The 23,027-nt window shown below is 52.2% G+C and overlaps 1 protein-coding gene across 12 annotated transcripts, besides 7 other annotated features; it reads left to right on the top strand.

The window, feature by feature from the left end:
* Window positions 778-907: an enhancer, noted in NCBI's record as "active region_26076". NCBI's record gives its function as "activates an Ori minimal core promoter by ATAC-STARR-seq in GM12878 lymphoblastoid cells {active_cell/tissue: GM12878}" and the evidence as "EXISTENCE:reporter gene assay evidence [ECO:0000049][PMID:35858748]".
* On the top strand, window positions 953-22,482 carry GUSB (glucuronidase beta). Of its 12 annotated transcripts, NM_000181.4 has the most exons (12): window positions 953-1,192; window positions 2,757-2,942; window positions 3,255-3,439; window positions 3,625-3,767; window positions 6,964-7,151; window positions 8,095-8,247; window positions 8,462-8,640; window positions 8,725-8,871; window positions 12,800-12,884; window positions 15,259-15,435; window positions 18,708-18,843; window positions 22,103-22,482. In NM_000181.4, exons 1-12 carry the CDS (start codon window positions 983-985, stop codon window positions 22,267-22,269), a joined length of 1,956 nt encoding a protein of 651 aa, NP_000172.2. In that variant the 5' UTR covers window positions 953-982; the 3' UTR covers window positions 22,270-22,482. The 12 variants fall into 12 exon arrangements, 11 of the variants coding, with proteins under 11 accessions (NP_000172.2, NP_001280033.1, XP_005250354.1 ...); NR_120531.2 differs by lacking the exon at window positions 12,800-12,884; NM_001293104.2 differs by lacking the exon at window positions 3,255-3,439.
* Window positions 2,364-3,124: an enhancer, noted in NCBI's record as "H3K4me1 hESC enhancer chr7:65445029-65445789 (GRCh37/hg19 assembly coordinates)". NCBI's record gives its function as "activates a minimal SCP1, AML or CMV promoter by ChIP-STARR-seq in naive H9 embryonic stem cells {active_cell/tissue: H9 hESC(naive)}" and the evidence as "EXISTENCE:reporter gene assay evidence [ECO:0000049][PMID:30033119]".
* Window positions 8,465-9,175: an enhancer, noted in NCBI's record as "H3K4me1 hESC enhancer chr7:65438978-65439688 (GRCh37/hg19 assembly coordinates)". NCBI's record gives its function as "activates a minimal SCP1, AML or CMV promoter by ChIP-STARR-seq in naive H9 embryonic stem cells {active_cell/tissue: H9 hESC(naive)}" and the evidence as "EXISTENCE:reporter gene assay evidence [ECO:0000049][PMID:30033119]".
* Window positions 12,791-13,292: an enhancer, noted in NCBI's record as "H3K27ac hESC enhancer chr7:65434861-65435362 (GRCh37/hg19 assembly coordinates)". NCBI's record gives its function as "activates a minimal SCP1, AML or CMV promoter by ChIP-STARR-seq in primed H9 embryonic stem cells {active_cell/tissue: H9 hESC(primed)}" and the evidence as "EXISTENCE:reporter gene assay evidence [ECO:0000049][PMID:30033119]".
* Window positions 14,226-15,018: an enhancer, noted in NCBI's record as "H3K27ac-H3K4me1 hESC enhancer chr7:65433135-65433927 (GRCh37/hg19 assembly coordinates)". NCBI's record gives its function as "activates a minimal SCP1, AML or CMV promoter by ChIP-STARR-seq in primed H9 embryonic stem cells {active_cell/tissue: H9 hESC(primed)}" and the evidence as "EXISTENCE:reporter gene assay evidence [ECO:0000049][PMID:30033119]".
* Window positions 14,226-15,963: a biological region, named in NCBI's record as "MED14-independent group 3 enhancer GRCh37_chr7:65432190-65433389".
* Window positions 14,764-15,963: an enhancer, noted in NCBI's record as "MED14-independent group 3 enhancer chr7:65432190-65433389 (GRCh37/hg19 assembly coordinates)". NCBI's record gives its function as "activates an origin of replication core promoter dependent on BRD2, BRD4, P300/CBP and CDK7 cofactors, and independent of MED14, by STARR-seq in HCT116 cells {active_cell/tissue: HCT116}" and the evidence as "EXISTENCE:reporter gene assay evidence [ECO:0000049][PMID:35650434]".

The following is a 23,027-nucleotide window of genomic DNA, read 5'->3' as shown; positions in this document are numbered from 1 at the left end:
ACTGCACCGTCCCTGTATGAAAGTCCCCTCCATAAATCTATGTCTCCTTTGCTGTCTCCAGATCTCCTCCTCTACCTCTCCCACACGGTGCCTTCCCTACTGGAGTAAACTGGGGTCCCGCAGGGCACCCTTTCCCTGCAATTTTTTTTTTTTTTTTGAGACAGAGTCTCGCTCTGTTGCCCAGGCTGGAGTGCAGTGGTGCGATCTCGGCTTACTGCAGCCTTTGCCTCCCGGGTTCAAGCGATTCTCCTACCTCAGCTTCCTGAGTAGCTGGGATTACAGGCACGCACCATCACGCCCCGCTAATTCTTTTTTTTTTTTTTGTATGTTTACAAAATAGGGACGGGGTTTCACTATCGTTGGCCAGGCTGGTCTCGAACTCCTGGCCTCAAGTGATCTGCCCCCCTCGGGTTCCCAAAGTGCACCTGGCCTCTCTCCCTGCATCTTTATGTGCCTGCAACACCAAGAGGGAGCTCTTGGCCCCTGGGTTAAGGTCAGGGCTCCAGAAGCCCAGGGTCAAGGCTATGGCCGCATCCCAAGGACGTGCATCCCTGCAAGAGGCTGCATCAGACAGGCATGGAAGAGGCGCCGCTGGGGCCTCCTTGAATTCCTGCTGGGAAAAGCAAGTGGAGGTGCTCCTTGAAGAAACAGGGGGATCCCACCGATCTCAGGGGTTCTGTTCTGGCCTGCGGCCCTGGATCGTCCAGCCTGGGTCGGGGTGGGGAGCAGACCTCGCCCTTATCGGCTGGGGCTGAGGGTGAGGGTCCCGTTTCCCCAAAGGCCTAGCCTGGGGTTCCAGCCACAAGCCCTACCGGGCAGCGCCCGGCCCCGCCCCTCCAGGCCTGGCACTCGTCCTCAACCAAGATGGCGCGGATGGCTTCAGGCGCATCACGACACCGGCGCGTCACGCGACCCGCCCTACGGGCACCTCCCGCGCTTTTCTTAGCGCCGCAGACGGTGGCCGAGCGGGGGACCGGGAAGCATGGCCCGGGGGTCGGCGGTTGCCTGGGCGGCGCTCGGGCCGTTGTTGTGGGGCTGCGCGCTGGGGCTGCAGGGCGGGATGCTGTACCCCCAGGAGAGCCCGTCGCGGGAGTGCAAGGAGCTGGACGGCCTCTGGAGCTTCCGCGCCGACTTCTCTGACAACCGACGCCGGGGCTTCGAGGAGCAGTGGTACCGGCGGCCGCTGTGGGAGGTGCGATCTCGGGGCAGGGCCGGGAGGCGCCCGAAAGCCCGGCGGTGGGAGTAGGGGAGCCCGGGCCCCCCGCAGACTTCTTCCCCTGGGCGTCTCCGAGCTGGGGCCCGCAGGAGGTTAAAGGTCAACGGGCTTGGGGGCGCCGGCTTGGGGGACGGGGGAACAGGAGCACCCTGGAGGGCCGGGGCGGATTAGGCAGGAGGAGAAAAGGCTCTTGCCGAGCCCTTTCCCGAGGTAAAGGCTGAGTCTGTGCAGTATCCTTCCTTTCAATATTTATTTTTAATTTTTAAAAATTTTTTTGAGACTGGGTTTGCACCTGTTTCCCAGGCTGGGGCGGAGTGGCGCCAGCCTAACTTCTGAGCTCAAGCGATTCTCCCGCCCCAGCCTTGCAATTTAGGGGGTGCCAACACGCCTGGCTAATTGAAAAAAAAAAAATTATCTGGGCTCGGTGGCTCACACCTGTAATCCCAGCACTTTGGGAGGTGGAGGCGGGCGAATCGCCTGAGGCCAGGAGTTTGAGACCAGGCTGGCCAACATAACAGGGTGAAACCTCATCTCTACTAAAAATATAAAAATTAGCCAAGTGTGGTGGTTCATGCCTGTAATCCCAGCTACTTGGGAGGCTGAGTCAGGAGAATTGCTTGAACCCGGGAGTAGAGGTTGCAGTGAGCTGAGATCAGGATGCCACTGCACTCCAACTTGGGCGACATAGTGAGACTACGTCTCCAAAAAAAAAAAAAAGGCAAAAAAACTTAAAAAAAAAAAAAAGATACAGGGTGTCACTATTTACCCAGGGTGGTCTCGAACTCCTGGCCTCAAGCCATCCTCCCACGTTGACCTCCCAAAGCGCTGATTACTGGCATGAGCCACCCACACACTCTGGCCACAGCGGCATGCACTGCACAGAGCTGGGCCCGGGGATCGGGAGAAGGTGACAGTTTAGATGTCCTGAGGTCAGCTCTGCCGAGGCAGGAAGTCCCTTGGTTTTCAAGGTTCACATAGAGGACAGGACATGACATCAGGCCCAGGACGCCACCCCTGTTCCCCTCCTGACTTGGATGTGATCTGCAGAGAAGTGGAACTGGGTGAGGTCTGGGCGGCTTTTGCCTGGTCTACATCCTCTTATTCTGACTTTGCAGCATTCAGTACAGGAGGGAAAGAGGAGGGGGCTGGGTGCCAGTGTGCACCCCACTCACAGTGTCCTAAGCAAAGCTCCCCCCATTCCTCCAACCAGCCTTCCTCCCTGTGACAGGCAGTGGCCATCTGCCTCTTAGTCACAGGTCTGAACCTTCTTGCCTCTGGCTGGGATGTGGCCCTGGGCTTGCTCCTGTCTCAGGAGATATTGTGCCCCATCCACTCTGAGGAGGAACTCCTGGCCCCACTGGCCCAGGTGCACAGATCGCCCTGGCAGTTGACCTGTCATCAGCAAGTTATCTGTCCTTTCTGCCAAGAATCCCCGCTATGTGTCAGGGCTTGTGCTAGGCCTGGGGGCACAGCCGTGCAGCACACTGGTCCTGGACCCTTTTGGGGGCCTAGGAGCTGAGCCCGGCTCTTCTCTCCACAGTCAGGCCCCACCGTGGACATGCCAGTTCCCTCCAGCTTCAATGACATCAGCCAGGACTGGCGTCTGCGGCATTTTGTCGGCTGGGTGTGGTACGAACGGGAGGTGATCCTGCCGGAGCGATGGACCCAGGACCTGCGCACAAGAGTGGTGCTGAGGATTGGCAGTGCCCATTCCTATGCCATCGTGGTCAGTGCGGCCAGGAGCAGGCAGGGCGGGTGGGGGGGCACGGCTGCTGAACAGCATGGGACCTCCAGCTGCCACCCACGGCATGTATGCTGGGGTGGGATGGTGGGGGGTCCTGCCCTGCCCTGCCCTGGGGGCTGTGCCCTGTATAGGGGGATAGGTAGCCTGATCTACCCCATTGGGATGTCATTCTTCCCGTCTGGCTGGAAGGCCCCGGAGCCCCATGCTGCAGGTTATGTGAGGGAGTGCCCGATAGTAGGGCGCCTCCTCATGCCCTGACCTGCAGCCCCCTCCCCGTATCTCCTGTGTCTGCAGTGGGTGAATGGGGTCGACACGCTAGAGCATGAGGGGGGCTACCTCCCCTTCGAGGCCGACATCAGCAACCTGGTCCAGGTGGGGCCCCTGCCCTCCCGGCTCCGAATCACTATCGCCATCAACAACACACTCACCCCCACCACCCTGCCACCAGGGACCATCCAATACCTGACTGACACCTCCAAGTGGGTACCATCCTGCCTCCATTGCACACACCCACCTTCCCGCCCCACCCTGTGGTCTTCCTGGTAGGGACTGGGTGGCCTTCACAGAGTGGAGGCCTTGGATCTGGGGAGGCCAGGGAGGCCTGTGAGCTGAGGTCAGGGGACCCAGAGCAAGGGCCCAGCAAACCACAGTCCTCCCATCCTAGGTATCCCAAGGGTTACTTTGTCCAGAACACATATTTTGACTTTTTCAACTACGCTGGACTGCAGCGGTCTGTACTTCTGTACACGACACCCACCACCTACATCGATGACATCACCGTCACCACCAGCGTGGAGCAAGACAGTGGTGAGGGCTTCTGGTAGGATCCTCTCAGCGGGGCCCAGGGTGGCTCTGTTTGTTCCCTGTTTGGAAAGCTCTCCCAGGAAAAAGGTGCTCCCAGCATCTCTACACCCTCACAGATTCCCTTCCACCTATGAAGCTAAAATTCAGCCTGTGTGAGCGGATACGGGCTCCCAAAATCACCCGTGTGGTTGACCTCGCTAGGAGAAGAGGGGTCTGGCCTAACGTCACACAGCTCGGGGTGGCAATCCTGTCCCTTCTCTATGGTGCTACTCTCACTCCATCTCCCCTTGCTACACATCGTGCTCAAGGAACAGGCAGCTTCGGTGGGGGGGGCGCCGGGCATGGTGGCTTATGCCTGTCATCCAGCACTTTGCAAGGAGGCCCTGGTATAAGGATCACTTGAGGCCAGTAGTTCAAGAGCAGCCTGGGCAACATAGTGAGGCCATCACCACAAAAAATTAAAAAATTAGCCAGGGATGGTGATGTGTGCCGGTAGTCCCAGCTGCTGAGGCAGGAGAATCACTTGAGCCTGGGATGTCAAGGGTGCAGTGAGCTATGACCACACCACTGCACTCTGGTCTGGGCAACAGACGCAGACCCTGTCTTTCTTTTTTTCTTCTTTTTTTTTTTTGAGCTGGAGTCTCGCTCTGTCGCCAGGCTGGAGTGCGATGGCGTGATCTTGGCTCACTGCAACCTCTGCCTCCCGGGTTCAAGCGATTCTCCTGCCTCAGCCTCCCGAGTAACTGGGATTATAGGCACCCGCCACCACGCCCGGCTAATTTTTCTATTTTTTTTTAGTAGAGACAGGGTTTCACTCTATTGGCCTGACTGGTCTTGAACTCCTAACCTCAGGTGATCCACCCTCCTCGGCCTGCCAAAATGCAAGGGTTACAGGCGTGAGCCACTGTGCCCAGCTGGGATACCCTGTTTTTTTTGTTTTTGTTTTTTGTTTTTGAGATGGAGTCTTGCTCTGTTGTCCAGGCTGGAGTGCTGTGGCGTGTTCTTGGCTCACTGCAACCTCCGCCTCCCGGGTTCAAACAATTCTCTTGCCTCAGCCTCCTGAGCAGCTGGGATTACAGGCGTGTGCCACCACGTCCAGCTAATTTTTGTATTTTTAGTAGAGATGGGGTTTCACCATGTTGGCCAGGCTGGTTCAACTCCTGACTTCGGGATCCACCCGCCTCAGTCTCCCAAAATGCTGGGATTACAGGAATGAGCCACAGCGCTCGGTCTGTATTTAAGAAAAATTTTTGTTTTAAGTTTTTTTTCTTTTTAAAAATATATCTTTTTCAGGGCGGGCGCGGTGGCTCATGCCTGTAATCCCAGCACTTTGGGAGGCCAAGGTGGGGGGATCACGAGGTCAGGAGATCGCGACCATCCTGACTAACATGGTGAAACTCCGTCTCTACTAAAAATGCAAAAAATTAGCCGGGCATGGTGGCAGGGGCCTGTAGTCCCAGCGACTCGGGAGGCTGAGGCAGGAGAATGGCGTGAACCTGGGAGGCAGAGCTTGCAGTGAGCTGAGATTGCATCACTGCACTCCAGCCTAGGGGACAGAGCGAGACTCCATGTCAAAAAATAAAAATAAAAAAATATATATATATCTTTTTCTTTTTCTGAGATGAGGCTTGCACTGTGGCCCAGGCTGGAGTGCAGTGGTGAGATTATTGACAGCCGTTGTGGGGCCGCGGTTCTAAGTTTAAAAGAATTTAGGCTGGGTGTGGTGGCTAATGCCTGTCATCCCAGCACTTTGGGAGTCCAAGGTGGATGGATCGCTTTAGCTGCAAAGTTTGAGACCAGCCTGGGCAACATACTGAGACCCTATCTAAGAAAAAAATAAATAAATAAAATAAAATAAATGAATAAAAAAGAATTTAAAAAAGAATCCCACAGCAAAGACAATGCACCATAGAGCAATTTATTGCCAAGGAAAGGTATTTTGGAAGTTAAGTTTAGAACAGCCTGGGTGCACTGGCTCATGCCTGTAATCCCAGCACTTTTGGAGGCCGAGATGGGTGGATCACTTGAGCTCAGAAGTTCAAACCAGCTTAGCCAACATTAGCTGGACATTGTGGTGTGAGCCTGCAATCCCGGCTACTCAGGAGGTTGAGATGGGAGAATTGTTTGAACCCGGGAGGTGGAGGTTGCAGTCAGCTGAGATTGCAACACTGCACTCCAGCCTAGGTGACAGAGTGACACCCCCATCTCAAAAAAAATAGTGAAGTGCAAAATGCACAGTTCACCCTGAGACACAGAATTCAGGACAGGCTGCTCGTAAGGATGAGACAGCACCGATTATTACTGGGGAAACTCCCTTTCTGGGAGTCTTCCGTGATGAATTCCTAAGGAGCTGGGAAGAGGTGTTACTGTAAGCACGTTCTGGGCCGTCCTCTGGTTGCACATGCGTAGTAGCTGTACATGCTTGTTCACACGTCACGTGTCTCAGTGCCGTGGTTGGCATGTCTGAGGGACACGGTCACTTCCTTGACTACCTATCCTGCCTCAAGATCATAGCTCACTGCAGCCCCGAACTCCTGGCTCAAGCAATCCTCCCACTTCAGCCTCCCAAGTAGCTGGGGCTGCCGGGGCTGCAAGCACGCACCACCACGACCGGCTGATTGTTTGTATTTTTAGGGAAGAAGTGGTTTCCCTATGTTACCCAGGCTGGTCTTGAACTCCTGGTCTCAAGCGATCCTCCCACCCCAGCCTCCTCAAGTGTTGGGATTACAGGTGTGACCACTGCACCTGGCCAAAATCTTTTTTTAAATTAAAAAAAGCACCGGGTGCGGTGGCTCACACCTGTAATCCCAGCACTTTGGGAGGCCAAGGCGGGTGGATCACCTGAGGTCAGGGGTTCAAGACCAGCCTGGCCAATATGACAAAACCCATCTCTACTAAAAATATAAAAATTCGCCAAGCATGGTGGTGCACGTCTATAATCCCAGGTACTTGGGAGGCTGAGACAGGAGAATCACCTGAACCCCAGAGGTGGAGGTTGCAGTGAGCCGAGATCATGCCACTGCACTCCAGCCTGGGGGACAGAGTGAGACTCCGTCTCAAAAAAAAAAAATAAGAAATTAAATTTAAAAAAAGCAACAGAAACAAATGGCTGCCTGGCAGCGGTGGCTGCAGGGCGCTCCTGTTTGTGTGACTCAGGTCGTGTCCCTCCCTCAGCCCTGGTCTCTCTTGTTTCTTGCAGGGCTGGTGAATTACCAGATCTCTGTCAAGGGCAGTAACCTGTTCAAGTTGGAAGTGCGTCTTTTGGATGCAGAAAACAAAGTCGTGGCGAATGGGACTGGGACCCAGGGCCAACTTAAGGTGCCAGGTGTCAGCCTCTGGTGGCCGTACCTGATGCACGAACGCCCTGCCTATCTGTATTCATTGGAGGTAATGGTGGTTTGGGACATGCCTAAGGGAGGTCTTTTGCCCCCATGTGGTGACCCTGGCTTCAGCAGGAGCCCAAGACAGGTGGATGGGCAGGCATGGTCCTCTGAGCTTTCTGATGTTTCTCACCCTTGGTGGGAGGCCCATTTTCTTTTTTTTTTTTTTTTTTGAGATGGTCTCACTCTGTCACCCAGGCTGGAGTGCAATGGCCTGATCACAGCTCACTGCAGCCTTGAACTCTCAGCCTGCAGCAGTCCTCCTGCCTTGGCCTCCTGAGTAGCTGGGACTACAGGCACATGCCACCATGTCTGGCTAAATAAAAAAAATTTTGTAGCCTGGGCAGAGTGACTCATGCCTGTAATCTCAGCATTTTGGGAGGCTGAGGTGGGTGGATCACTTGAGGCCAAGAGTTCAAGACCAGCCTGGCCAACATGGTGAAACCCCATCTCTACTAAAAATATGAAAATTTGCTGGGCATGGTGGCGAACACCTGTAATTCCAGCCACTCGGGAGGCTGAGGCAGGAGAATTGCTTGAACTCAGGAGGCAGAGGCTGCAGTGAGCTGAGATCACACCACTGCACTCCAGCCTGGGGGACAGACTGAGACTGTCTCAGAAGAAAAACATTTTTTTTTTATAGAGATGGGGTCTCAGTCTGTCAGCAGGCTGGTCTTCAACTCCTGGACTCAAGTGATCCTCCTGCCTTAGCCTCCCAAAGTGTGGGAACTCCAGGCATGAGCCACCTTGTCTTGTCAAAGGGAAGGCCATGTTTTGAAGGGCAGGTTCCCAGGGTCAGCCAGGGTAGGGCAGAACCTCTGATTGCTGCATCTCTGCTTACAGGCCCAGAGGCAGCTGCTGGGGTGCACGAGGGGCCTTCCTGCTGGAGGGCAGGCCGGATGGGGCTCAGGCTGTCGGGGTGCTCACACCTGGTGCTTTGGCTGTCATAGGTGCAGCTGACTGCACAGACGTCACTGGGGCCTGTGTCTGACTTCTACACACTCCCTGTGGGGATCCGCACTGTGGCTGTCACCAAGAGCCAGTTCCTCATCAATGGGAAACCTTTCTATTTCCACGGTGTCAACAAGCATGAGGATGCGGACGTGTGTTGGGGCTCCTGGGTCCTTGTCGGGGCTGCTTCTGGTCACCCTCCACTTTCGCCTTCCCTGTGTCCTGCAGTTGAGGGCAGCTCAGGGCAATGAGGCAAATGGCTCCAAATGGAGAGGGGGCTCATGGGGTGGCTCTCCAGGGTCCTGGCTCTCAGAGGAAGTGCAGCTTCGACAGGGACAGGGGTCACTTGGCTCTGCTATCTCCTAGATCCGAGGGAAGGGCTTCGACTGGCCGCTGCTGGTGAAGGACTTCAACCTGCTTCGCTGGCTTGGTGCCAACGCTTTCCGTACCAGCCACTACCCCTATGCAGAGGAAGTGATGCAGATGTGTGACCGCTATGGGATTGTGGTCATCGATGAGTGTCCCGGCGTGGGCCTGGCGCTGCCGTGAGTCTCTGCTGTGCACCTGCTCCGCCTGCCCAGCCCGGGGGCGTCACCGTGACCCTCTGTCCCTTCCCTCCTGGCCCGCAGGCAGTTCTTCAACAACGTTTCTCTGCATCACCACATGCAGGTGATGGAAGAAGTGGTGCGTAGGGACAAGAACCACCCCGCGGTCGTGATGTGGTCTGTGGCCAACGAGCCTGCGTCCCACCTAGAATCTGCTGGCTACTACTTGAAGTGAGTGCTCCCTCCCTGCCCTCGGCTAGAGTGGGAAGGAGACCCTGGCAGGTGGCTGGCCTCGGTGGGCATGTGCTGTTCAAGATCGGCCTCGTGTCCAGCCCAATGGGAAGGCCGTCCATACCCAGATAGTTCAGGGGACCAAATATCTACCCACCCAAATTGTGGTTTTCTTTTTTGTTCTTTTTTTTTCTTTTTGAGATGGAGTCTCACTATATGGCCCAGGCTGGAGTGCAGTGGGGTGATCTCCGCTCATTACAACCTCTGCCTCCTGGGTTCAAGTGATTCTCCTGCCTCAGTCTCCTGAGTAGCTAGGATTACAGGCACCCATGAACCACTGTGCTGGGGCTGTTTTTTTTTTTCAAAATGGGTTCTCACTCTGGTTGCCCAGGTTGGAGTGCAGCGGTGCAGTTTTGGCTTACTGCAGCCTTGACTTCCCAGGCTCAGGTGATCCTCCTGTCTCAGCCTCCCAAGTAGCTGGGATTCTAGATGTGTGTCATCACGCCCAGCTAATTTTTGCTTTATTTTTTATTTTTTGGATATGCAGTCTCCCTCTATTGCCCAGGATGGAGTGCAGGGGCATGATCTCAGCTCACTGCAACCTCTGCCGCTCAGGTTCAAGTGATTCTCCAGCCTCAGCCTCCCGAGTAGCTGGGATTACAGGCACATGCCACCACGCCCAGCTAAGTTTTCCTTTTTTCCTTTTTATGAGATGGAGTCTCACTCCGTGGCCAGGCTGGAGTGCAGTGGCGCAATCTCGTCTCACTGCAACCTTCACCTTCCAGGTTCAAGTGATTCTCCTGCCTCAGCCTCCTGAGGAGTTGGGATTACAGGCACACGCCAACATACCCTGCTAATTTTTGTATTTTTAGCAGAGACGGGGTTTCACCATTTTGGCTAGGATGGTCTCGATCTCTTGAACTCATGATCCGCCTGCCTCGGCCTCCTGAAGTGCTCGGATTACAGGCGTGAGCTACCACGCCTGGCCAACTTTTGCATTTTTCAGTAGAGACGGGGTTTCACTATGTTGGGCCAGGCTGGTCTTGGACTACTGACCTCAGGAGATCCACTTACCTCGGCCTCCCAGAGTGCTGGGATTACAGGCGTGAGCCACCGTGCCCGGCTAATTAGAGACTGGGTTTCACCATGTTTGCCAGGCTGGCGTGGAACTCCTGGCCTCTAGTGATCCTCCTGCCTCACCTTCCCAAAGTGCTGGGATTACAGGTGTGAACCACCACACCTGGCCCCCTTTTCTTCCTTACAATCGTGCAGTTCTAACTCAGCGTTCAGAGTTGGATTTTTCACTTGGGGTAGAAGCAGGAGAGGTGGTAGAAATGCCTCTTGACTCATACAGCACACCCCAATTTCATGCAGTGCTTTGGGCTGAGCCAAGTCTGCAGCAGGCAGAAGGCTCTGAGAAGTTGTTGCAGCCTGGGCCAAGGACAATTCAGAGCTTGGGGGCACAGGGGTGTGCTCAGCAGGACTGGGTGGACAGGCCCTTTGTTGCGAAGGGGAAGAGTACAGGCTTCCAGGAGCAGGTGTTTGAGGCTTCTTTGGGAGGTGGCCAGAGGAGATGCCTGTTTTCTGGGGCAGGATTTGGAGGGAGCCACCCAGGCTGGAGAGGTTCAGCCAGGCTGTCACAGGCTTTGAAGTTTCCCATCTGAGAGCCTGGCTGTTGGAGAGTGTGGGTTTGGAACTTGAGGCTAGGGGGTTCTTTTCTGATCTGTGCCAGCCACAGCCTTCGGATAGGCAGAGCAATGATGGGGGAGGGCGTAAAAGAAGAAATGAACTGAGGAAAGAGAAGAGGAAAACAGGCTTCAACAACAGTCTAGGCTGGGTGCGGTGGCTCACGCCTGTAATCCCAGCACTTTGGGAGGCCAAGGTGGGTGGATCACCTGAGGTCAGGAGTTTGAGACCGGCGTGGCCAACAGATATTGAAACCCTGTCTCTACTAAAAATAAAACAATTAGCGGAACACAGAGGTGGGCGTCTGTAATCCCAGCTACTTGGGAGGCTGAGGCAGGAGAATTGCTTGAGCCCAGGAGGTGGAGGTTGCAGTGAGCCAAGATCATGTCATTGCACTCCAGCCTGGGCTACAGAGTGAGATTCTGTCTCTCAAAAAAACAAAAACAAAAACAGTCTGTACTGTGGAGGCCTCGGGCAGGTGCCAGGAGCTCTGAGCACAGACGGGTCCCTCTGTTGGGTTTTTCTTCCCTTCTAAGGGCCATTTCTTCTTATTTATTTATTTATTTTTTGAGATGGAGTTTTGCACTTGTTGCCCAGGCTGGAGTGCAATGGCACAATCTCGGCTCACCACAACCTCTGCCTCCTGGGTTCAAGTGATTCTCCCGCCTCAGCCTCCCGAGTAGCTGGGATTACAGGCATGCGCCACCACGCCCAGCTAATTTGTATTTTTAGTAGATATGGGGTTTCTCCGTGTTGGTCAGGCTGGTCTCGAACTCCCAACCTCAGGTTATCTGCCTGCCTCAGCCTCCCAAATAGCTGGGGCCACAGGTGTGTGCGGCCATGTCAGGCTAAGTTTAAATTTTTTTTTTTTTTTCCGCAAGATGGAGTCTTGCTTGTTGCCCAGGCTGGAGAGCACTGGTGCAATTTTGGCTCACTACAACCTCTACCTCCTGGGTTCAGGCAATTCTTCTGCCTCAGCCTCATGAGTAGCTGGGATTCCAGGCGCATGCCACCATGCCCAGCTAGGTTTTTTTTGTATTTTTTTGTAGAGATAGACTTTTACCATGTTGACCAGGCTGGTCTCAAACTCTTGACCTCATGATCCACCCGCCTCGGCCTCCCAAAGTGTTGGGATTACAGGCGTGAGCCACCATGCCCGCCCCTAATTTTTAAATTTGTTGTAGAAACAAGGTCTTGCTATGTTGCCCAGGCTGGTCTTGAACTCCTGGTCTCTGGTAAAACTCCCAAAGTGCTGGGATTCTAGGCGTGAGCCGCCTTGCCCGGCACTTGCACCATTTCTCTGCATGCGTCTCCACTCCCACTGCCCAGGACCTGTGGACTTAGATTTGAGTCACTGCTGAGCACCTCGCACCTAGCCCCATGCCTGCCTCCCAGCCTGCACTCCGTTTGCTTGATGCATTAATAAATATCCCTCCCAAATCTGCATCCATCCACCTCCTGTGTTCAAGAGCTGTTTCAGGGCGTCAACCTCATTTTTGCCAGTGTCCAGCCTAGTGACCTCAGCTCTGTGTACCTGGAAGAGTGGCTGCTCCTCTGGGGGTATAGGATTCGGAGATGGGGGTAGAAGGAGTGATGTTAGAGAGCTCGGTCTAGGACTAGAGGATCATATGCCCTTATGTAAAATACATCTCAAGTTAGGGAAGAAAGCAGCGGCTCCATGCTTTTTTTTTTTTCCCCTTTGTTTTTGTTTGTTTGTTTTGAGACAGGGTCTTGCTCTGTGGACCAGGCTGGAGTGCAGTGGCATGATCTTGGCCCACTGCAGACTCCTCCTTCTGGGTTCACGCCATTCTTCTGCCTCAGCCTCCTGAGTAGCTCAGACTATAGGCGCCGGCCACCACGCCCGGCTAATTTTTTGTATTTTTAGTAGAGACGGGGTTTCACCGTGTTAGGATGGTATCGATCTCCTGACCTTGTGATCTGCCCGCCTCGGCCTCCCAAAGTGCTGGGATTACAGGCGTGAGCCACTGCGCCTGGCCGCTAATTTTTGTATTTGTAGTAGATAGAGTTGGGGTTTCACCATGTTGGCCAGGCTGATCTTGAACTCCTGACCTCAAGTGATCCACCCACCTCGGCCTCCCAAAGTGCTGGGATTACAGGTGTGAACCATCGTGCCTGGCCCCGTGTTGTGTTCTGGCGGTGGAAGATGGGACAGAGAGGATGGGAGGGTGTCTGAGCCATTCCTGGACTGATGGAACCTGTTTCTTCTGCCTTTTGTGGACAGGATGGTGATCGCTCACACCAAATCCTTGGACCCCTCCCGGCCTGTGACCTTTGTGAGCAACTCTAACTATGCAGCAGACAAGGGGGTGAGCCTGGGGGTCCCCACCCCACTTCTCCCTGCCTTTGCCTGGGCTTGTCCTGAAGCCTGGTCATGGGAACAGCCAGGAAGAACCATGCGCTGCCAGTCTGGGTTTTATTTCATTTTCTTTTTTACTTAAAAAGATAGAGACAGGGTCTTGCCATGTTGCCCAGGCTGGTCTCCAACTCCTGGGCTCAAGCAATCCTCCTGCCTTGGCCTCCCAAAGGGCTGGGGTTACAGGTGTGGGCCACCACACCCCGGCCGCAGCCAGTCTGTTTTCACAGATGGTCTTTGGGTTAATGAGAATTCTCCCCCTGCTTACTCGCCAGGCAGTGTGGCTTTCTCAATCCAAGGAGGCTGGGCATAGGGAGATGGGATTTGTTTGCTCAGTTTGGACTCAGCATTTTTTGCACTTCGATTTAATAGACTCATAAAACATCAAAGATTTAAGGGAGCTTAGAGTTCATCTGGCCCACACCTGGCTGATGAGAATCTCTAGGGGAAGTTTTTATGAAATGCCAGATCTCTGCATTCTGAGGTCCTGATTTAGTACGTCCAGGGTTGGAACTTGAGTTTTTCTTTTTCTTTTGTAGAGGCAAGGTCTTACTCTCTTGCCCTGGCTGGAGTGCAGTGGTGCAATCACAGCTCACTGCAGCCTTGAATTCCTGAGCCCAAGTGATCCTCCTGCCTCAGCCTCCCGAGTAGCTGGGACTCCAGGTTTTCACCACTGCGCCTAGCTAATTTTATATCTTTTTGTAGAGGTGGCATCTCTCTATGTTGCCCAGGCTGGTCTCAAAGTCTTGAGCTCAAGTGATCTCCTGCCTTGGCCTCCCAAAGTGCTGTGATTACAGGCATGAGTTGCAGTGCCTGGCTGACATTAGCATTCTTTATTTATTTATTTATTTATTTTGAGATGGAATCTTGCTCTGTTGCCCAGGCTTGAGTGAAATGGTGCAATCTCAGCTCGCTGCAACCTCGTCCTCCCAGGTTCAAGCAATTCTGCCTCGGCCTCCTGAGTAGCTGGGATTACAGGTGCATGCCACCACACCCAGCTAATTTTTGTATTTTTTAGTAGAGATGGGGTTTTGCCATGTTAGCCAGGCTGGTCTCAAACTGCTGATCTCAGGTGATCTGCCCACTTTGGCCTCCCAACGTGCTGGGATTACAGGCGTGAGCCACCACACCCGGCCAGCATTTTTACTAGAAAGAAATGTGTTCAGGACGCATTAGAAACTAGCCAGTTGGACACAGAAGCCCCTGCTGCTCAGCTGTAAGCACCGCTATGCTGAAGCTTGGGGTGGTCCTACTCGGTCGTCACCGCCCTGCTCCTTGGAGTGACTTTTCTGGCCCTCTGCAGTCCACAGTGCTGCCTTGTGAAAGCTCCCTCAAGATCCTCTGTGACAGCCGGGCATGGTGGCTTACACCTATCATCCCAGCACTTTGGGAGGCCGAGGCAGGCAGATTACTTGAGATCAGGAGTTCAAGACCAGCCCAGCCAACTGGTGAAACTTCATTTCTACCAAAAATACAAAAAATTAGCTGGGCGTGGTGGCGCACGCCTGTAATCCTAGCTACTCGGGAGACTGAGGCATGAGAAGCACCTGATGGTGGGAGGCAGAGGTTGCAGTGAGCTGAGATCGCACCACTAACATTCTAGCCTGGGCGACAGAGCGAGACTCTGTCTCCAAAACAAAACAAAAGATTTTCTGTGAGAATGACTGCATCGGCCCCTCGGGTGGCAGCGCTTCTCCAGGGCAAGGTGAGGGGAAGCCCAGTGATGGGAGTGCTGCCTGGAGAGGAGTCAGTTCCAGTGGTGGGGGCCCTGGGCTTTGGCTGAGGGCTGTGCGTTGGCAGCTGCTGTGCCTCTCACAGCCCTTCCCAGCGGCGCACGTCATGAGTGTCAGTGTGGAGTCCCAGGCCTACCTCCTCTGGGCCACTTTGTGACCATGTTTCTTGCCTATGGCAGGGTAATTTCAGGATCTAAATTGGTACACTTGGACGTTCTCAGCCCCAGGAGGCAGCTGTTCCCGTTCTAGGTTTTTTTTTTTTTTTTTTTTTGGTAGAAATGGGGGCTTGTGATGTTGCCCAGGCTGGTCTCGAACTCCTGGGATCAAGTGATCCTCCCATCTTGGCCTCCCAATGTGCTGGGATTACAGGCATGAGCCACCGTGCCCTGCTAATTTTCTTACTACTATTTTTTGTAATGCTGCAGTCTTGCTGTGTTGCCCAGGCTGGTCTTAAGCCATCCTCCTGCCTCAGCCTCCCAGAGTGCTGGGATTACATCCCCCTTACCTTCTCTGCCAGAGGAGCCCCCGCAGTGTGTGAATGCTGAGTCATGCTGTCTACTGAGTGCTGAACGGGCTCTGCTGCTCTGGTCCTAGGCTCCGTATGTGGATGTGATCTGTTTGAACAGCTACTACTCTTGGTATCACGACTACGGGCACCTGGAGTTGATTCAGCTGCAGCTGGCCACCCAGTTTGAGAACTGGTATAAGAAGTATCAGAAGCCCATTATTCAGAGCGAGTATGGAGCAGAAACGATTGCAGGGTTTCACCAGGTAAGCAGTGTTGAGCTTTCTGCTTGTGTGTTCTCTCAGGGCAGAGATGTCACTCACCTCCTCCAGCCTGACCTGCGCCCACTGCACTGCTCCCCTCGCTTCAGCTTTGGGCTCTCCTCCCACGGCCCCGTCCACGTTCCCTCACCGCCAACAGCCAGGCCTGTGCCCCACTCACTTGGTCCTCAGAGGTGGCCTCCTTACTGGCTTTGTTTCCAGATAGCCTCCTATCACCCGTGCCCAAGTGGTCTTTCTAACAGATCCAAATTTGTATTTGTTTTTGAGACCGGATCTCTCTGTCACCCAGGCTGGAGTGTGGTGGTGCGATCACTGCTCACTGCAGCCTTAACCTCCTGGGCTCAAGTGATCCTCCCACCTCAGCCTCCTGAGTAGCTGGGACCATAGGCACATGCCAACACGCCTGGCTAATTTTTTTACTTTTGTAGAGATGGGGTCTTGCCATGTTGCCCAGACTGGTCTTGAACTCCTGGCCTCAAGTGATCTGCCTCAGGCTCCCAAAGTGCTGGGATTACAGGTGTGAGCCTCTGCACCAGCCACAGTTGAAAATTTTGGGAGTCCTGTCATTGGCTCCCCCAGGCCCACAGGACAAAGCCCTAACCTCTGGTCAGGACACTCAGTGTCCTCTGCTCTCTCCTGGGTTTTCATCCCCTTCTCCCCTCTATCCCAGCCACTGATCTGTTTCCACTGCCCTCGCTTGCTCTCCTGCTCTTGCTTGAGCTGTTTCTTCTGCCTGGAATGCCCATGTTGGCACCATAATCACCAACTAAAATATCCTTTTTCTTAATTTTCATATTTTAGATATAGGGTCTTGCTATGTTGTCCAGGCTGGTCTCAAACTCCTGGACTCAATTGATCTTCCTGCCTTGGCCTCCAAAAGTGCTGGAATTACAGGCATGATCCACTGTGCTAGCCTTTTTTTCTTTTTCTTTTTTTCAGGGTCTTGTTGTGTTGCCCAGGCTGGAGTGCAGTGGTGTCATCATAGCTCACTGCAGCCTTGAACTAAAGGGCTGAAGTAATTCTTCCACCTCAGCCTCCTGAGTAGCTGGGACGACAGGCATGAACCACCATGTGCAGCCTATTTTTAAATTTTTTTGTAAAGATGGAGTCTATCAGGCTGGTCTAGAACTCCTGGCCTTACGTGATTGTCCTGCCTCAGACTCCCAAAGTGCTGGGAATCCAGGCATGAGACACCATGCCCAGCCTGTCGTCATTTTTTTAATCTATCTCATTTTTTTGTCCTCCTCACCAAAGATATGTTGGTTTGTCTTGTGAGGTTTTTTTTTTCCTGTGGATTCCTGAACCCCATCCAGCCCCTCATTCCCACCCCAGCCAGCTCACACTTGTTTGTCACAGCTCCTGGTTGACACACAGGGAACAGCCACCCACAGTGGACTGCGCTGTTCTGTTTGCACCCTTAAATTTATCGTGCTTACAGAATGCCACTTCTGCAAACTAGTCAAGTAGGGGAAGTGGCTCTTGGATATATTTGCTTGCGCATCCTCTTTGAAAAGGTAACCAGCTCTGAATTCTTTTTTTTTTTTTGACACAGAGTTTCGCTCTCGTTGCCTAGGCTGGAGTGCAGTGGCGCGATCTCGGCTCACTGCAATGTCCACCTCCCTGGTTCAAGCGATTCTCATGCCTCAGCCTCCCGAGTAGCTGGGATTACAGGCATGCGCCACCACGCCCACCTCATTTTGTATTTTTAGTAGAGATGAGGTTTCACCATGTTGGTCAGGCTGGTCTTGAACTCCTGACCTCAAGTGATCCGCCCGCCTTGGCCTCCCAAAGTGCTGGGATTACAGGCATGAGCCACCGTGCCAAGCCCTAGCTCTGAATTCTTAAGAAACTCTTGAGAGGGTCTAGGTCAGTGCTGATAGAACCTCTGCAGTGCTGGGCATGGTGGCTCACACCTGGAATGCTGGCACTTTGGGAGGCCAAGGTCAGAGGATCTCTTGAGCCCAGGAGTTTGAGACCAGTCTGTGCAACATAGACCCCATCTCTACAAAAAATTTAAAATTAGTTGGGCATGGTTATGAGTGCTTGTAGTCCAAGCCACTTGGGAGGCTGAGGTGGGAGGATTGTTTGAGCCCAGTAGGTCAAGGCTGCATTCAGCTATGATTGCACCACTGTACTCCCACCTGGGTGACAGAGTGAGACCTTGTTTCAAAAAATAAAAAAAAACAAACTTGCAATGATGGAAATGTTCTATATTTGCACTGTCTGAAATGGTACACACTAGCTACACATGGCTACTGAGGTCTTGATATATGACTAGGATAACTGAATTGATTTAGTTTAATTAAATAAATTTTTTTGAGACAGCCTCACTCTGTTGCCCAGGCTGGAGTGCAGTGGCATAATCACAGCTCACTGCTCAACCTCCTGGGCTCAAGCGATCCTCCCTCCTTAGCCCCAAGTAGCTTGAACTGCAGGCGTGCGCCACCACACCTGGCTAATATTTTGACTTTTTGTAGAGACTGGGTCTCACTGTGTTGCCTAGACTAGTCTTGAAATCCTGGGCTGAAGTGATCCTCCTGTCTCGACCTCCAAAAGTGCTGGCATTACAGACCTGAGGTACCATGCCCAGCCTGGTTTGGTTGAGTTTAATTTAATTTAATTTTTATATATATATATATATTTATTAGAGACAGGGTCTCACTGTGTCACCCAAACTGGAGTGCAGTGGTGTGAACACAGCTCACTGTCGCTTTGATCTCTGGGGCTCAAGCAGTCCTCCAACCTCAGCCTCCCAAGTAGCTGGGACCACAGATGTGTGCCACTAGGCTTGGCTAATTTTTGTACTTTTTGTAGAGATGGGGTCTTGCTATGTTGCCCAGGCTGGTCTTGAACACCTGGGCTCAAGCAGTCCTCCCACCTCAGCCTCCCAAATTGCTGGGATGACAGACATGAGCCACTGCACCTGACTGAAAGACATATTTTTGCCTGTAGTGTAGTTTAGCCTTAAGACTGTACCAGCAGATAGAGGTGGAAAAGTAATGTGAAACGAATGTCAAATTACGTTTATAAATAAAGCAGCTGCTCATTAAGGTTGTTTTTTTTTTTAAACCTCCTTTTTTATTCTGGGTTACATCATTCCCTGGCTGTCTTTACCCCAGCATCAGTGAGTCCTGCAGTCACTATAGCCCCCTGTGAAGACAGATATTTTGGTCACCATCAAGTGGATCTTTATTTTTATCTAACATTTACAATTCTGCCAGTTCTGACTCTTACATTCTCTTTGCCTTGAATCCTAGGATCCACCTCTGATGTTCACTGAAGAGTACCAGAAAAGTCTGCTAGAGCAGTACCATCTGGGTCTGGATCAAAAACGCAGAAAATACGTGGTTGGAGAGCTCATTTGGAATTTTGCCGATTTCATGACTGAACAGTGTAAGTGGCAGTTTGGCTCATGGGATAACGTACCCGTCCTCATTTTTTCAGGTTGCCTTTCCAATTCTGGCCATTTCAATTGTAAGAATATTGGAAACAAAGTTGGGGAAGCTGGTTTAATCCATGTAGGTTGCGTTGAGAATTTTCTAGGAAAAGTAAGTTGTGTTTAGGAAGTAGGAAAGCAATCAGGCCCCCGCCTCCCAAATACGGTCAAAAAGCAAACAGGAGAGTCAGCTATAGTGAATCGGAAATGGCTGGCTTGCCTTTTCCTTGTCTATTTTGTAGCCAAGGAGGAACGAAAAACGGGACCTCATCATGGATTTACTTTTGGGATACACTCATTATTCCATAGAAGGGTACAAAGCCTGAGAAACTTAAGGTATTTCAGTCTGTTGTATATTACTTGCGAAAAGCAGGCTTATCAAATACAGGTGAGTTTCAACGCATCTTGAATTTGGCAGCATTTACAAGTCTTCAGGCCAGGTGTAGTGGCTCACGCCTGTAATCCCAGCACTTTGGGAGGTCAGGGTGGGAGGATCGCTTGAGGCCAGGAGTTCAAGACCAGCCTGTTCAGCATAGCAAGACCCCATCTCTACAAAAAATAAACAGATTAGCTAGGCGTGGTGGTGTGTGCCTGTAGTCTCAGCTGCTTGGGAGGCTGAGGCAGGCGGATAACCTGAGCACAGGAGTTGGAGGCTGCAGTGAACTATGATTGCACCACTGCACAAGAGCCTGGACAACAGAGTGAGACTTGTCTTTAAAACACAAGATTGGTCTTCAAAGAGAATAACATCTGCGGTGTCTTGTGAGGATGGATGAGGGGCTGCCAAGTTCGCAATGAATGTGTCCCATTTCTTCTTAGTTTATGGACTTACCATAAACTGAAGATAGCAGTTTGGTGGGTTGGAGAAGCATGTGGTAATGGTGGGAATTATAATACATTACTTACAGGGAAAGACAGGCCTTTGAAAGGTAAAGCGTAAGAGTGAGAATGGAATACGGATGAATGAATGAACAAGATGAGGTGAGAAGGAAGAGGTAAAGGGAAAAGGAGAACAGGAAGCTGTCCTCTGCGTGGCACCTGTGATAAATGGTTTCTGGGGACATCCCTGATGGCAGTTTTGTGGAGAGGTGCGAGGCTTTATGCGGTAAGAAATGAGCTGCAGGCTGGGCGCAGTGGCTCAAGCCTGTGATCCCAGCACTTTGGGAGGCCAAGGTGGACAGATCACCTGAGGTCAGGAGTTTGAGACCAGCATGGCCAACATGGAGAAACCCCATCTCTACTAAAAATACAAAATTAGCCGGGTGTGGTAGCGCATGCCTGTAATGCCAGCCACTTGGGAGACTGAGGCATGAGAATCTGTTGAACCTGGGAGATGGAGGTTGCAATGAGCTAAGATCACAGCACTGTACTCCAGCTTGAGCAATAGAGTGAGACTCTTTTTTTTTTTTGAGACGGAGTTTTGCTCGTTTCCCAGGCTGGAGTGCAGTGGCGCTATCTCAGCCTACTGCAACCTCCACCTCCCAGGTTCAAGCAATTCTCCTGCCTCAGCCTCCCGATTAACTGGGATTGCAGGCATGCGCCACCACACCCGGCTAATTTTGTATTTTTAGTAGAGACGGGGTTTCTCCATGTTGGTCAGGCTGGGCTTGAACTACCGACCTCAGGTGATCCGCACATCTGGGCCTCCCAAAGTGCTGGGATTACAGGCATGAGCCACCATGGCCAGCTGAAACTCGGTCTTAAAAAGAAAAAAGAAATGAGCTGCATCACGTTGGGCAAGTCACCTAAGCTTTTCATAAGCCTGTCCAGTGGGGATAATGCCACCTCCTTGTTGGTGTCGTAAGGGCTGCATTTGATGAAGTACTTGGCGATGCCTGTGTTCACTTATGGAAGAAACAGTCTTGAACCTTTTGGTGGGGAAAGCCCCCTTTCCATTTAACATTTCCATTTAGTGGTGGTCTTACTGGGGACAGAGAATGTCCTGAGAGCACAGCCCTGACAGGTCGTTGCCAGCTGTGCTCCTCCACCAGGCTCAGCTCAGGCCTAATGACCACCAGTGGTGGGTGCTGCCAAGCTGGACGTCAGCCCCGGCGGACTTTGAACTCCATGAGTAGGTCCCACGCAGGGACCTGTGGCTGGTCAGGACCCTGGCTCCCACTAGGCGCTATCTCTTCAGAAAGGCCCAAGGCTTTTCAAGGGTAACTGTCCCAGATACCCCTAGCCCTCTGCCTACCCAGTTACCAGACAGCTGGGTACCCAGCATGTAAACCTTAGTTTGCAAATAAAAGATAAACTTTTAGTGCTTTTTTTTTTTTTGGAGATGGAGTCTCACTCTGTCGCCCAGGCTGGAGTGCAGTGGCACAATCTCAGCTCACTGCAACCTCTGCGTCCTGGGTTCAAGCGATTCTCCTGCCCCAGCCTCCTGAGTAGCTGGGACCACAGGCACCCACCACCATGCCTGTATAATTTTTGTATTTTTAGTAGAGATGAGGTTTCACCATATTGTCCAGGCTGGTCTTAATCTCCTGACCTTGTGATCCGCCTGCTTTGTCCTCCCAGAGTGCTGGGATTACAGGCATGAGCCAATGTGCCCAGCCAGTTTTTGTATTTTTAATAGAGGCGGGTTTCCTCATGTTGGCCAGGCTGATCTTGAACTCCTGACCTCAGGTGATCCACCTGCCTCAGCCTCCCAAAGCACTGGGATTACAGGCGTTGGCCACCACACCTGGCCACTGTTTTGGGTTTTTTTCCCCTAACAGACTAGAAAACTAGAAATTAACACACCAGGGAACCTGGGTGTTTGGGCAGAGCAGTGGTATTTAAATATTTCAACCCATAAATTGTCACTTCAGAGCAAGCATCCTGAAACTGTAAGAGGACATTTGGCTGAGCATGGTGGCTTGTGCTTATAATCCCAGCACTTTAGGGAGGCTAAGGAGGGCAGATTGCTTGAGCCCAGTAGTTTGAGACCAGCCTGGACAACATAATGAGACCTTGTCTTTACTAAAAAATAAAAATAAAAGATTACCGGGCATGGTGGTGCTGGAGAGGCTGAGGCAGGAGGATTGCCTGAGCCCAGGAGGTTGAGGCTGCAGTGAGCTATGATTGTGTCACCGCATTCCAGCCTGGGCAACAGGGAGAAAAAAGAAAAAAAAAGACATTTCTATTTAGTGCCTACCTTAGCTCCAGACTGGTTCTAACTTGACCCATCAGAAGACATCTGAATCGCTTTGTGTCTTTTTTTTTTTTTTGTAGCACCGACGAGAGTGCTGGGGAATAAAAAGGGGATCTTCACTCGGCAGAGACAACCAAAAAGTGCAGCGTTCCTTTTGCGAGAGAGATACTGGAAGATTGCCAATGAAACCAGGTATCCCCACTCAGTAGCCAAGTCACAATGTTTGGAAAACAGCCTGTTTACTTGAGCAAGACTGATACCACCTGCGTGTCCCTTCCTCCCCGAGTCAGGGCGACTTCCACAGCAGCAGAACAAGTGCCTCCTGGACTGTTCACGGCAGACCAGAACGTTTCTGGCCTGGGTTTTGTGGTCATCTATTCTAGCAGGGAACACTAAAGGTGGAAATAAAAGATTTTCTATTATGGAAATAAAGAGTTGGCATGAAAGTGGCTACTGAAAAGCATCTGAAATCATTTCTGTGCGTCGTGCTGTTTTCAGAGCTTTAACTGTGTGTGGACTTTTGAGAAACTGCTGCTCCAACACCCCCACCACGTTCAGAGCAGCTGGTTCCCGAGGGCGTCTGCAGGAATAGCCCCATGGTCCTAGGGCCACCGTGTTTGTGTAGCAAACCAGGCCAGCCTCGACAGGGAGTGAGTAGAAGACTTTCACAGCTGCTGTTCGACTCCTCAGATGAGCTAAAGTCCCACATGTACCAACAAATTCATAGAAACGCTGTCATTGTTGCAGCACTTAACAGGGTCTGTGTGCCAGTTTCTACATAGTTAAGCTGGCAGTGTCTGAATTGGAAGGTTAGAGGTAACTGGTTCTCCCAGAACATTGTTTTGACCTCAGCCATAGGGTCTTGACAGAAATGGACAGATGAGTGTAAAAGCCTATTGGCTTTATCATAACGGATGCCACTGAATGTGACAGGACCTCCTTAAACAACTTTGCCTACAAATCAGCATTCCATGCCTTTACACCCCAAAATGACGCTACCTGCCC

Source organism: Homo sapiens, chromosome 7 (genome assembly GCF_000001405.40).
Source record: "Homo sapiens chromosome 7, GRCh38.p14 Primary Assembly".
NCBI lineage: Eukaryota > Metazoa > Chordata > Mammalia > Primates > Hominidae > Homo > Homo sapiens.
Note: the sequence above shows the minus strand (reverse complement) of the source record. Positions and strands in the feature narration are given on the sequence as shown.